Source organism: Homo sapiens, chromosome 4, assembly GCF_000001405.40.
Source record: "Homo sapiens chromosome 4, GRCh38.p14 Primary Assembly".
Taxonomy (NCBI): domain Eukaryota; kingdom Metazoa; phylum Chordata; class Mammalia; order Primates; family Hominidae; genus Homo; species Homo sapiens.
The window spans coordinates 176,253,519-176,268,738 of record NC_000004.12 but is presented as its reverse complement, the minus strand read 5'-3'; the positions used below and the strand labels follow the sequence as shown (position 1 = coordinate 176,268,738).

At 36.5% G+C, this 15,220-nt stretch overlaps 1 protein-coding gene across 2 annotated transcripts in view; it reads left to right on the top strand.

Annotated features, from left to right (window-relative positions):
• The window catches only part of ASB5 (ankyrin repeat and SOCS box containing 5), a 63,852-nt gene that overhangs the window by 8,786 nt on the left and 39,846 nt on the right, over positions 1-15,220 (top strand). The window lies entirely within an intron of this gene.

Here is a 15,220-nt window from a genome sequence, read left to right as displayed (position 1 = left end):
TAAATGTTTGGGTTAAAATCAAGGTATCATTGCAAAAGAGATTAAGGAAGGCATACTATATATATAATAGGAATATATATATGTAATAGAAATATATCTATTCCTATTAAGAAACATTTTAAAAAGTTAAACATTTGATCTGCCAAGTCATAGTATTAGAGATTAGTTTTAGAAGTAATTGATTGCACTTCAGTCGTCCTCTAATGTGTACCTGGATTGTATAATTTTAAATTAAATCTTTAGTTATGTGTAAAATAATTGTTATTAAAAAGAGGGGATTTCAAGATTTGGTTTCTCACAACTTTAATAAGATAACCATTTGACTCTAAAATAAAGCACACACACAAAGAAGATTGACGACATGTGTTTTTCTGATGGAATTGTTACTGCTCAGCTCAGTTTGTAAAAAATTGGTTATAAAAGGATAGAAACATAATTAATACATTTTATATGTGTGCAGCCAAGTGCATCCATGTTCTTTAGAAGAAATTGTAGTATGAAACCAAATGAGAAACAATATTACCCATAGACTTCAGAAGGTTGTAAAACCATTTAGGTTCTATTGGGTCGGTACTCTAAAAAATAAAAATGACTCATATGGCAGGCTTTAAAGTGCCATTTTTAAATTCTCATAGTCTTCAGATTCATTTCTGATTTGAAAATCAACAGGCATGCATGAATATTTATAGCCCAAATACCTCCAAAACAACTTAAATTGTCAGCATTGAAATTTACTATCACACAATTTAAACATGTAAACTTGAAAGAAAAGTCTCTTAGAGTAGAAAGCTTGCCTTCTTAAAATCCATGTTCCTACATTTTTCAATGTGGGATGCGACTCATTTTAAAATCTAGGTTACTCTATTAGTACATGGAAAGTTGAGTGAAGGTGGAAAATCTTTTTTAGTGTGTGAGGTAGATAGTGAGTACATGTTTCCTGAGGAAGACTGCAATTTGCAACATGAGGAATTGATGTTCTTATTCAAAATGAGGAAAATTTAAATGTTCATAAGAATCTCTTTAGGGAAAGATAAAATCTCAAGTAAATAGGCTGTATTTAACCCTTTACCTACCACCTCTGCCTTAGAACAGAGAGAACTATATTTTATACATTTATGGAGACTGGGGCTAACATTATCACCCAGGCTGGAGTGTAGTGAAGTGGAGTGGCTCAATTCTCACTGCATCCTTGAACTCCTAGGCTCAAGGGATCATCCTGCCTTAGCCTCCTAAGTAGCTAGGACACACAACCATGCCTGGCTAATTTTATTCTTTGTAGAGACAGAGTCTCAACATTGTCCGCCTAAGGTGGTCTCAAACTCCTGGGCTCAAGGGATCCTCCTGCCTCAGCCTCTGAAAGCTCTGGAATTACAGGTGTGAGCCTCCGTGCCAGGCCTGAACTATATCAAAATGTGACATATACACTATGTGATTAATCTGTACATAAAAAATTTAGTTGGCAAATGGAATATTTGTGTACAAAACAGCAAACATAGAAAACTAAATTTTAAAACAAAAGCCATATTTGCAGATACACGAGTAAACAGCTTACATGATCATAAAGTGGTAAAATTTACCCTCATGGGCGGCCTGTAGCACATTACTTCATAATCAGATCTTGTCTATGTATTATGAGAATTTCTCTACATTAACACATGAAATATTGCCTAAACAGAAGAAACATTTTTGTGGGTTGAAAAGAGTTTTAGAGGAGGCCATGGAAGCTCCTTTTTGTACATATTTTCAAATAAAAAGAAACACTCATCCCCTCATTAGACTTATCTTAGTGTGCTTATGCTGGGAAATCATGGGAATATATGCAATGGTTTCCACATTCCCATATACTTTTAGGATTCTGTTTTAAATTAAATTAGAATTCTAGGATTTTTTGTCTCAAGAAGGAAAGAAAAAAGGAAATCAATATCAATAGGAAACACTTTTCCTGGAAATATAAAATGGAAGCAAAGTTTTTACAAATTTTGTTTTGTGTTATTTTTAATGTTAGATGTATTTAACAAAAATTTCCCCTCTAATATCATGCATTAATCTGTATATGAAACAATAGAATATAGTATTATAATTTTAATTCAATATAAGCATAATTTGTTTCTAATTTTATTTTAACATTAAGAGAGCAAATCAGGTACCTTATAAAACTCTTTCTTAATCTTCTACTTCTAAGCATTCATTCTTTCTTGCCCAGGAAAATTATTACTTTCTACATTTTAACATAGCTTTTTCTTTTATTTACTATAAGTAAACTATTTTTTATTTTGTTTGTGTCTTTATAAGTCACTAATTAGGCTTAATTATCTCTGTTTAATCCAGCAATTTCCTCCTTCCTGGGAGAGATTATCACCTTCATTCCACTTTGAATTGGGTTTCTCATTCCTACTTTCAAGGCTTAGCCAGACTGCTCCCCAACATTTCTGATGTGGAGTTGCCAAATTCCATGAAATAAGAGATGGCGTGTATTATTTTCATGTCTTTCATAATCACCGAAGACCCTGTTGACAACATGCTGGATGCCCTCCCCATGAGCAGTAGTACTTTGGTGTGAAATAAAAGCAACTGTTAATTTTCTTAGATATTATTGCAAATCAGCTGATTGTATTAGACAAATATCTGGTGGTTTTTTTTAAAGCTCTTTCCTATCAGACTTGAGACCAAGGTATGATTACCCATGAGAATGCTGAAAAGCTAAATGGTATCTAAAAATAGCTTAAGATATTTCCTTCTGGATCCTTTTGCTATTTCATTAAACTTTACAAATCTATCTTTTCATCTCTTAAGACTTTTATCACCCTCATCATCATACTGCAGGGGCCTATTCTTTGCTTTGCTTTTTTGTATAACTACCTCCTGTATCATCCTTCCTGCTAAGTGTCCTGATTACAATCTTTATGTATCAGAGGCCTAGTCTATTCTTGAAGCTAGCTCTTTACTTTGAAACCAACAGGGAGACTACCAGGCTTTCAAGGCTACACTGAAATATTACACAGTATACAGAGAGAATGAGGATGTGGAGAAATGTGTTAATTTGGTGAAATCATACCAAAGGCCTAGAAGAAGCCATAAACTTCTTGACTCCCAAAGATACTTCAAGAGGCAGCTCTTCTCTTCTGTTAAGGGCAATACTTTTTAAGTTCTGTCTTAGACTCTGAAGAAGTTTAGCAGTTTTTGCTACAAATGGACAAGACAAGTTCTAAGCATTGATTTTTTGAGCACCCATGATATCAAGACACTGAGGATACGGTATACATAAAAGGCAAAATGTATTGTTCTCATCCTTAAGTTTACATTCTAATTGAGGAGATAGGCTATCTACAGCTAATAGTCACTTTCCAGAACACTCACTGCCAAATGACTCTAAAGAATGAATGGGTCATTTTCTAATCTGTACTTTCAGAGATACCTTCAAAGAGGAGGCAGAGCTTGAGGTGACTCCAGGAATGAGCAAGGCATGGATTTATGGGTGCACATGGACTGTTGGGAGTCAGTAGATTTGGCTGGAGTGGAGAGTTCATGCAGTAGAAAAGTAACAATAAGTTGGGCCCAGATGTGAAGGAATTTGAATGCCATGCTAAACAATTCAGACTTAACTTTGAAGGCAGTAGGAGTCATTGAAAGTTTTTGGTATGAAAGAAGGTGGGAAAATAAAAAAGGGTATGTATTAAACCATAATTTAAAGTAGATTTATATAGTAATATTCTTTGGAGTTGGACGAGAGAGATTTGAAATAAGTTGACCAGTTACGACCTTGCCATGAGGAGATGAGGACCTAGACTAGTTTGGTAATAGTGGTACGGACAGAAAACATAGAATGACAACAAAAAATAAAGGCAAAGAAAAGAAAGAAAGAAAGAATCTGATGATGCCTGTAAATAGCATTCAAATAGCCTTTAAATTGGCAGAAAGAGAAAATGTTACCTTAGAGTAACATTTTCACATATTACTTTTTTCATTTTAACATAGCTTTTTCTCCCAGAGTTAGATATTAACATGTCAATCAGAAGACTGATTAGCCACACAGGTCAAGTCTGCAGGCAGCCTCCAGCCAAGGCCACCCCTTGAAAGTGGACCCTTAGAGCTTGGTGAGTCTGGTAGGTTACATACCTATCCCTACTGGGAAATATCAAAGTAAATCAGGAAGTAATGGAGTTAGAATCTGAATTCTAGTCTTGCATTTGATTTATTTAATGTATTCTTTTCATTCCAATTTATATTTTTAAACACCAAGGCTTCTGATTGTGACTTGGCTCCCATCTTGATCTGACCACAGAAAGAAAATGTGCCAGCTTGCCCTCAGGACTGTTTTAGTCCATCTGGCATTTATAGGTCTTATTGCAAATTAATATATTTGCATCTTGATATCAATCAACAGTATTTTGTGTTCATTGAGTTGTAAGTCCACTTCTGAGATGTAAATTTACTCCAGCTTTGCTGACAGATTTCTGAGCCTGCAAGGCCATGGACCAAATTTTGGATTGTGGAAAATTCATCAAGATAACGTGTCTCTGTGAGGCTGCTTGAGAAACAATCTGGTGACACTCAAGCTCTTCAGGCGCTCCTTTCACGGTTGAGATTTTATGTAGAATACACAATGTATGTAGAATCATCATATAGAATATTTATGCTTGTGATTTCATAAGTTTTGTTTTAGGGTTGCCATTACTCATGCAATTTTTTTTTTTTTTGTCAAGTCTGTGGTAGACACTTGGAAATAGGACATACTATAAATGTGTGACCTTAAGCTGAATGGCAGGTGAACTTGGCATTTTGGAGAATACTGTAACCTGGATAGGAAAAGCAGTAAGAATTTGATGTAATATCTTTTTTTTCTCCATTAATAAACTCCATCCTAGGTTTAAAAGCAACTTTAGGAATTTAGCTTTACAGCCAATGCTAGCAATAGAAGCAGTAGTATTCTCTATACCTGTTTCTGAGGAGCAACTTGTTTCCTGTGACTTTTGGTGCTGCTGGTTACCTCTGCATGAGATTAGTTATCTTAGGGACGTTCTGAGAATCTCAGCAAAGAATCTGTAGCAAATCTGTAGGATGACTTCTTAATAATATCTTTATTATATAAAGGTAAATATTCTCAATATGTGGAAGTTTTTGGACCATTTTCTATACGTAGGTGGAACAACTCCACAGAAGAATAACTGGAATCGATAGAACTGCTCTTGTATGACAAAATACATGACATTATACTCAAAAGTGCTACTATTTTTTTTTCAAGGAGGTTTTAATTTTGTCCAAGCTCTACTTTTTCAGAAATGCCTAAACACTTTTGTGGAAGAAACCATTATAATCCTGCAAATCAAAAATGAAATCTGGGAACAAACTTACAAGTTTAGAAAAGACTCTGTCAAATTTTAATGTATTAATGCTTTTCCTCTCCTTCTGTTTCTTATTCATTTTGTGTTACTATAAAGGAAAAGCTGAGGCTGGGGAAAGAAAACAGGTTTATTTAGCTCATGATTCTGGTGCCTGCTGAGGGCCTCAGGCTGTTTCCACTCATGACTAAAGGGAAGGGGAGCCAGCATGTGCAGAGATCACATGGTAAGACTCAAGAGAGTGGGGGCAGGTGTGTGTGCTTTTCAACAACCAGAACTCTCCGAAACTAATAGAGTGAGAACTCACTCAGCATCAAGGGAGGGAGGGCAAGCATTAATCTATCCATGAGAGATCCATCCCCATAACCCAAACATCTTCCATTAGACTATACACCTCCAACATTGAGGATCAAATTTCCACATGAGGTTTGGAGGGGACAAATATCAAAACCATAGCACTTAATAACTTTAGATTTGGAGAAATGCATAAATATTTTAAGTTAAAAAATTGACATAGGTGGTGATAGTTTAGGAGGGATCAGTTTTCCTAGGAATATTCTTATATCTTTTGTTCATCTCTTCCTTCCTTTAATCATTCAGTTAGTTGCTCATTTATTACTTACAACATAATGTACTTGCCCAACACTTATTTATGTATCTACCAGGTCAAAGGCATTGTGCTAGGCCCTAAGGATAAACTATAGAAACTAACCACTGTCTTTCCCAACAGTGTACACAGTTTAGTGGAAGAAAGATGGATAGGCAAGTAATTTTAAAACATGGAAATTGCTATTTTACAAGATTAAAGAAGGTGCTATGGGAAGGTGCTATACAGAGAAATGTATGTAGAGCTAAGAATGGTTCTGCCTAGGATATGCCAGTTACACAGAAGCCATACTAACAATACACACATTCTCTCACACAACTAAGCATGCATCCTTATTCACAATGCTCAAAAACTTGCCAAGTCCCCACCTTCACTTCCTACCAACTTTTTCACTTCTCAATTTGTTATTTCTGACTCATATATCTCTTACCTAAAGCTTTATCTTAGGCTCAGAGTTCTGTTGTTAAAAGAATTTATTTTTAGGAAGGACACAAGTATGCTTTGTGAAAAATGGAAAATATTTTGATGAAAAAATTTCAAAATGGATTTTGTGTACTTTGATAGGGGACGTTGATATTGTCAACGTTTTAAAATTTTTTACATAGTAAAGATAGAAAAGGAATGAAAACTAGGTCTTAACTTTCTGCTTCTCAATTTACTATCTCTTTTAGAAGACAGTGAATTATTAAAATAAGCTATTTTTCTTATTCATTGCCATAACTGCTATAGCTTTGAATGTAGCTTAGTTGAATAAATACTGGGATATCTACTCTCTTCCTGGCACAATGTTGTGTACTACATGCACATATACCAACATATCTGTAATATATATAGTATTTAATAACTATAATATGTAATACATAACTAATATATAATATAAAATGCATACTATATCATGTATATAATTTCTGTATTATATATATGTATATGTTTGCCATGTGTGATATATGAGTAAAAGCAGAAGGCTTGGATGAGCGGAGCCAAACATTGCAGAAGTAAGACAACCTAAACAGCAAGGAGGTAGAAAACCATATGGCGCTAAAAGGAAAACAGTCAAGTTTTGCAATTGATGTTCTCCTCTAAGTCAGAAAGGGAAGAGATTGAGGTCATCTGAGACTGTAAGCACTTCATAAATAAAGCAGAGCTTAAGGCAGAAATCCAAAGGCAGAACATATTTGGTTATGTAGATGTGGAGATGAAACCAAGCTAAATATAAAGAAAAAAAGAGGAAAAGTTTAGAATGTGGAGCCAAACAAGGCTGTCTCATCTGGAGCAAAGGTGGAAGTATAAATGTCAGGGATGAAGAAACGTAAGTTGAGTGGTTGATGCTAATGGGAAAAATAAACACACATTTCGAAGCATATATCTAAAAGTCAGAAGTTCTGTTAAGAACTTTCTAATACCTTTACAGGATTCAGCATATGAAAAAGGGTCGCTAGCTAATGACGGAAATAATTACCACCATAAATATTTTACAAAATACTTGGTATAATGATTTAATATGTCATTATGTGTGTTTCATGAAGTACATCTCAGAGAAGATGGAATACCTCCCCAACACTGACTCAGCACTGCGCATCCTCAGAGTGGTTCCATGGTAATTCTGTGGACTTGGGCAACAATTTTAGCAATTAAGCCCATTTTCTAAACTGCAGAGGAGAGAAGAACAATTATCCCCAGTGACAGATAAACCATGCCATTAAAAGCAGGTGAAGTATTTGGAACACCTCTTCCTCCAAAGCCACCCTCAAATAATTTTTAAAAATTAAAAAGACAGAAAGCATTTGCTTACTAGTGATGTAGAACTTTTCGCATTTCTTGCCGACGTGGTGGCTCACGCCTGTAACCCCAGCACTATGGGAGGCTGAGGTAGGTGGATCACGAGGTCAGGAGATTGAGACCATCTTGGCCAGCAAGGTGAAACCCCATCTCTACTAAAAATACAAGAATTAGCTGGGTGTTGCAGCACGTGCCTGTAATCCCAGCTACTCGGGAGGCTGAGGAAGGAGAATCCTTGAACCTGGGAGGCGGAAGTTGCAGTGAGCCGAGATTGCGCCACTGAACTCTAGCCTGGCAACAGAGCTAGACTCCGTCTCAAAAAAACAAAACAAACAAACAAAAACAAACAACAGCAACAACAAAACAAAACATTATCAGCTGCATAGGGAACAAGTCATTTATTCTTTCCAGCCTTCCCTCAGCAATGCTACAAAGCAGACCATTGGCTTTTTAGACTGGAAATGCCCAAAGAATATCATGTCAGGGAGGGAGAGGCTTAAGGAGTATCATAAATTGTTAAATGAATACTGAAAGAATCTTCCAGGTGGTCTGTGATTAAACAAGTCCACTCTGTGAAATTTAGGTTAAAGGTGAACATTTATTAGATGATTTTTTTTCTCAATCCTCATTCTACAATTCCTCATTGGTTACCATGGAAAAGGATTTTAAAAATCTGTCTTATAGATTTAAGATAGATTAATATCCCATATTTAAGGTAGATTTAAGATTTTTCTAGAAGGCCGTCAGGGGCTCAGAAGCTAGGGTGGTGTGAGGGGGCAAGGTCCCCATGGGTCCCCTTCCCCCTTTCGAACAGAACAACTCTACTTTCATAAATCTTCATAAGTTGGGCTTTAAAATAGTAATAATTTTTTCTTCAAAGAAAGGGATAAAATAATATTTAAAACTAGACTGTCCCAGTTTATGGAAAATATTATTTGTTACACATATCTTTACAGAACCTAACCATCTGATAATATGAGTCATAGCTGAATATCCTTTCGAAATTCTTTCCTAGGGATTAGATGAGCAGCAAACATTTGGGGCCTGTCAGGCATGTACATAACTATGTGAAATGTCAGGAAGGCATCCTCTCTCTATCAGGGCAGCTAAAATTTCCATGCCACCGGTACCCACTGAGTAAAATAGAAACCTTCAGAAATACACATACTCTTTCCAGAAGGCTTATAGTCTTAAACTATGGGTAGAGTACAAACAAACTGAAATTTAACACCAAAATGCCATTCATGTTTTTAAATAGAAGCACTGGCTCACCTCAGCTGTCAAGTGTGCAGTGTGATTTAAATGAAAGCTGACAATGATAAAATTTAAGTGAAGGCCCATCCATTGGAAATCTGCTCTTCACCATCATAATGCCGCAAAGTCCCTTGTGAATTAAATCAGGTAAGGCTGTCAAAGTGAGAAAGGAAGCAATCCTTCTTCTAAAGCAGTCTCAAGACTTCTTCTAAAGCAGACTCAATGCACTACAAGAGCTGTTAAATAATGACCATGGAAACAGCGGTGACTTTGGTAGTGACTCAACCCCTCAGTAGCAACCAAATACATCTTTGATTAGCCACTGAGGAGATTTATGTGCACTTATGTTTTCCAAATTCTACTTCATTCACTAGAGAAATGGTGTTTCCGTCATTCATCAAGTAAAAGTAATAGTTCATTTTTAGAATGAAATGATGCACCTAATGAATTCTTGAATTTGGAAGTTTTGTGTCTTACTTCCATCTTGACCTGTGATCTAGAATCATGAATTTGGAAAAGGAAAAAGTGCTAATTCTTTAGAGCTCAAATACACAGGTCGCAGATCTGTTGCATCCAGGAAAGAATAAATACTTCATTGTAACTCCAAGAACTAAAAGAAAAGGAGTGAAATGAAACTGTAAGCATCTCTCTCCTTCTCTCTCTCTCCCACCCACCATAGTTATGATGAAAATGCTCAAGTAGAATCTAGTATAGGGGCTAAGTTTTCTGGCTACTTACCATTACTCAAATAAACCAACAAAACAAGACTGGCTCTGGCTGGAGAAAAAAAACCTTTACTGAACATTAAGTCCCAAAACAATAGTTGCATATCTAATTGGTGTGACATTCCAAGAATGTGAAAAGAAATCAGTTTAAGTAAGCTTAGTACTTGGAGTCTACTGAAACTGATGATACTATTTTTTTGAAAAAGCATTTTTATTTTTATTTATGAAACTTAATTGAATTCAGTGATCGAGATTTTGTAGGTTTAAAGCTCCATTTTAGAAAGCATGTACAAAATGACTACAAACCTGGTTCTATAGCATTATAAGGAATATTCCATTACTTTTGAAAGACAATGTTTTTAAGTAGAAGAAAAAAAACTATGTACTTTATAATTAACCTAAGGCTCATGAGACAAACCTGTGATTCTTGCCAAATACTTGACTAGAGACTGAATTTTAACGGGCTACAAGAAAAGTAGATCAGTCAAAACTGCTTTTATTATGGAGAAGAAAATTTCAATTTCCTAGACCAAAGTCACTTGGTCCTTGAAATAACTCTCAATGGCATGCAGGAAAAACACTGCTTTGGATATTGAAGAAAGTCAGCAAATGGTTGTAGAATGAATAAAAGACCTTAAAAAAAGAGAATATGGAGGTTAAAAACCCCTTGCATATTGCACAATGTTTGACCCAGACATAAATTGTTCTGTCATGGTTGTAGCATTTTCTAGCTGTGTGATCTCAGGAAAGTTGCTTAACGTCTGTAGATCTCAGTTTAATGGAGGTATTGATACTACTTGAGCGGATTCATAGAAATCTTATATGAAATATAATTTATTACCTTAATCACTTGCCACAGTGTCTGGCGTAAAGTCAACACTCTATAGATGTTAACTTTCTATATCATACTTTTTTAAAAAATTCAAAAACAGGATAGAATTGCCTATAATTTAGTAACACAGGAAAGCATCAGTAGGAAAAGATAGTAACATTAACATTGTAATAAATTAACTATGTTTGCCAAACGGTTACTACAAGCACATAATATAATACCAGGACCTGTCTACTAAGCAGGTGTTCTACCCCAGGATCATATTAGCTCTTTGGTTAGATCGTTTCAGAGGTCAGCTTGATTTATCTGCCAATGTAACAATTCACTGAAGCTCTAAAGAGCTTAGTAAGTTGTCAGTTTTTTCGGGTAGTAACTAGAAGAAGCAGAATTCCAACCCAGATTCCTCTTCCACTCCATGGTCTTTCTCACCGAATAAACACGGGGTGAGTGGCAAAATCAAAGCCTCGTGTGCATGAGGTCTCTGTGCCATCCATGCGCCTTGTCGACTGGCCCTTTCTATATAAAAGGAAAGATATTGGAGAACTATAACTATTTTAAAAGACAGAAAATACAATGCTTGCCAAAAATAAGCCATTTATTTTATGCCTTTAAGACTCAAGGTATGTTTTTGCAGGTACTCCCTCTGATACAAAGGAAAGTAAGACATTCTGAGCTGTTCCATAGGATTGGAGCAAAGTAATGCAGAGTTTGGCTAGTGTGACCAGGACCTAGGCAGAATGTTAAGGTTGGGAAGGCTAGTTCAGAGTTGGGAGTTTTAAAATTACTTGCAGAAATTTCTTCTACAATCTTATTCTGTCCAAGAAACTTTTCTTGACAGAAATTCTTCAAACAGAAATGTTTTCCTGGGCGCATTTGGTCAAATACCTGGTCATGGTTGTCCTGTGGGAAAGCCTGGGTTGCTCTGAAAGAACTCTTTGATGAGTTACATAACAGCATGTAACAATGGCAAGTCTTGGCAAATTCTTGGCTCTCCATTATAGTCAGTGCCACAGAAAGAGTCAAAGCTGCTTAACCTCCAGCACACAACAAAGCACCAGATAGTAACGTCCTTTGCCAAACCATCCTTCTTAAAAGCCTCTTGTCCTTTTATTTTATTTTCTCATAATCTCTGGCAGCTGATAGTGAAAGACAAAATCTAATGTCAACATTCACAACAAAGAACTGAGTCAGCTAGCTCAGGGATTTGTCTTTTTTCCTTTATTTTCTCTGCTCCTTTCTGCCAGCTGGTCTCTTCAGGAAGTGACCAAAACATAGTTTTTCTTTTCTTTTTTTCTTGGAGTGCAGTGGTGCGATATTGGCTCACTGCAACCTCTGCCTCAGGCTCAAGCAATCCTCCCGCCTCAGCCCCCCATGTAGCTGGGACTACAGGTGCAAGCAACCATGCCCAGCTAATTTTTGTAATTTTTGTAGAGACAGGGTTTCACCATGTTGCCCAGGCTGGTCTCAGACTCCCGAGGTCAAGCCTTCCACCTGCTTCGGCCTCCCTAAGAGCTAGGATTACAGGCATGAGCCACCACGCCTGGCAAAACATAGTTTTCCTTGTCATATCTTACAGAAAGTTTTTTTCCTTATGAGAAAAAAGAAAAACAAACCATTTAAAAATAAGCAGAGTATATTTGGAAATGAAGATATGGAATTATCTCATAGAATCATTGAAAGACCTCAAACTTGAATTCATATTTTGAATTATCTGGAGCCTTATGCACAGGTTTAGAAAGTATCGATCCTAAAACTGAGCTTTCCAGGAACCCTTGCCCCTTTACCAGGCCACTGCAAAGCCTGTCTGAAGGTGGCTAAGCCTCCAATGAGAAAATAATAAAACACAAAGAATGATTTTTGTATTCTTTCTTTGCTATGAGACCATTATACCATAAATGTTAACAATAGGGAACAAAATTATAATAAAAACAGTGGGAAAATTAATGCTCTTAGTTGCAAGATCTGAGATGCTAGCTTTCTCCTATGTGATGTAGGCAGGTGTGAATCTCAGCCTCAAGTCAGAAATGAGTTTTTACTACTCAAAGCTTGGCAGGAATATGATGAAGGACAAAGAACTCTCTCAAAATGGAATATCTTATGGTGAACTGCAAACTTGAGAGTAACGTTTTTGAATAACACAGCCATATATGACAGCCCCTAAAAGTTTCAGGACATAGCTCAGTCTTGCTAGTCTCTAATAGACTTTTAAAGAATAATGCTAATAATACAATAATGACCTTTTGTTCTCTGAGATTATAGAAATCCAGTTCTGTGTGATAATACCAGAATAGGAGTATTGTAGCATAATTGCTATTTTTCTTTCTTTTTAAAAATAATTTCAACCTTTATTTTAGATTCAGGGGATACAGGTTTGTTACCTGGGTATGTTGTATGATGCTGAGGTTTGGGTTACAATTGATCTCATCACCCAGGTACTGAGCATAATACCCAGTAGTTAGTTTTTCAACCCGTACCCACATCTCTGCCTCCCTCTCTAGTAGTCCCCTGTGTCTACTGCTGCCATCTTTATGTCCATGAGTACACATTGTTTAGCTCCCACTTATAAGTGACAACACGCAGCATTTAGTTTTCTGTTCCTACATTAAGTTGCTTAGGATAATGGCTTCCAGCTGCATCCACGTTGCTGCAAAGGACATGATTTTGTTCTTTTATGGCTGTGTAGTATTCCATGGTGTGTATATACCATATACTCTTTATCCAATCCACTGTTGATGAGCATCTAGGTTGAATCCACATATTTACTCTTGTGAATAGTGCTGTGATGAATATACAAGTGCATGTGCCTTTTTGTTAGAACAGTTTCTTTTAGGTATATACCCAGTAATGGGATTGCTAGGTTGAATGGTAGTTCAACTCTTAGTTCCTTGAGAAATCTCCAAACTGCTTTCCACAGCAGCTGAATTAATTTACATTCCCACCAATGTTGTATGACCATTCCCATTTCTCCGCAGCTTCCCCAGCATCTGTTGTTTTTTCTTTTTAATAACAACTGTTCTGACCAAAGTGAGATGGTATCTCATTGTGGTTTTTTGTTTGTTTGTTTGTTTCTTTGAAGATGGAGTCTTGCTCTGCCACCCAGGCTGGAGTGCAGTGGCATGATCTTGGCTCACTGCAACCTCCACCTTCCGGGTTCAAGTGATTCTCCTGCCTCAGCCTCCTGAGTAGCTGGGATTACAGGCACGCGCCACCATGCCTGGCTAATTTTTGTATTTTTGGTAGAGATGGGGTTTCACCATGTTGGTCAGGCTGGTCTCAAACGCCTGACCTCGTGATCCACTCGCCTCGGCCTCCCAAAGTGCTGGGATTACAGGCATGAGCCACCGCACCTGGCCCTCATTGTGGTTTTGATTTGCATTTCTCCAGTGATTAGTGATGTAGAGCATTTTTTCATATATTTGTTGGTCACTTGTATGTCTTCTTTTGAGAAGTGTCTTTTCATGTCTTTTGCCCATTTTCTAATGAGGTTATTTGTTTTTTGCTTGTTGAATTAAGTTCCTTATAGATTCTGGACATTAGACCTTTTTGTTAGATGCAAAGTTTGTGAATATCTTCTTCCATTCTGTAGGTCACTTGTTTACTCCGTTAATAGTTTCTTCTGCTGTGCAAAACTTTAATTAGGTTCCATTTGTCATTTTTTTTTTTTTGCAATTGCTTTTGAGGGCTTAGTCATAAAGTCTTTCATAAGGCTGATGTCCAGAATGGTGTTTCCTAGGTTTTATTCTAGGATTCTTATAGTTTGAGGATCTACATTTAAATATTTAATCAATTTTGAATTAATTTTTGTATGTGGTGTAAGGAAGGGGTCCAGTTTCATTTTCTGCATATAGCTAGCCAGCTATTCCAGAATCATTTATTGAATGGGGAGTCCTTTCCCCACTGTTATTTTTGTCAACTTTGTTGAAGATCAGAGGGCCGTAGGTCTGCAGCATTTCTGCACTCTCTATTCTGTTCCATTGGTCTATGTATTTGTTTTTGCACCACTACCACGCTGTTTCAGTTACTGTAGCCTTAGAGTATAGTTTGGATTCTGGTAATGTGATGCCTCTGGCTTTGTTCTGTTTGCTTAGGATTGTTGTGGCTCTTCAGGCTCTTTTTTGGTTCCATAGTTCCATCTTACTTTTATAATAGGTTTTTCTAGTTCTGTGAAAAATGATGTTCCTGGTTTGGCAGAAGTAACACTGAATCTGTAAACTTCTATGGGCAGTATGGCCATTTTAACGATACTGATTTTTCAAATCCACGAGCATGGAATTTTTTTGTTTGGATCATCTATGATGACTTTTACACTGTTTTGTGGTTCTCCTCATAGAGATCTTTCACCCTCTGGGTTAGATACATTCATAGGTATTTTGTTGTTGTTGTTGCAGCTATTGTAAATGTAAAATGCAAGCTATTGTAAATCAAGATTGTGTTCTTGATTGGGCTCTCAGCTTCAGTGTTATTGGTGTATAGAAATGCTGCTGATTTTTGTACATTAATTTTGTATCCTGAAACTTTACTGAAGGTGTTTATCAGTTCCAGGAGACCTTTGCTAGAGTTCTTAGAGTTTTCTAAGTAAAGAATCACATCATCAGCAAAAAGAGATAGTTCAATGATTTCTATTTGGATGCCTTTTATTTCTTTCTCTTGCCTGATTGCTCTGGCAAGGACTTTCAATATTATA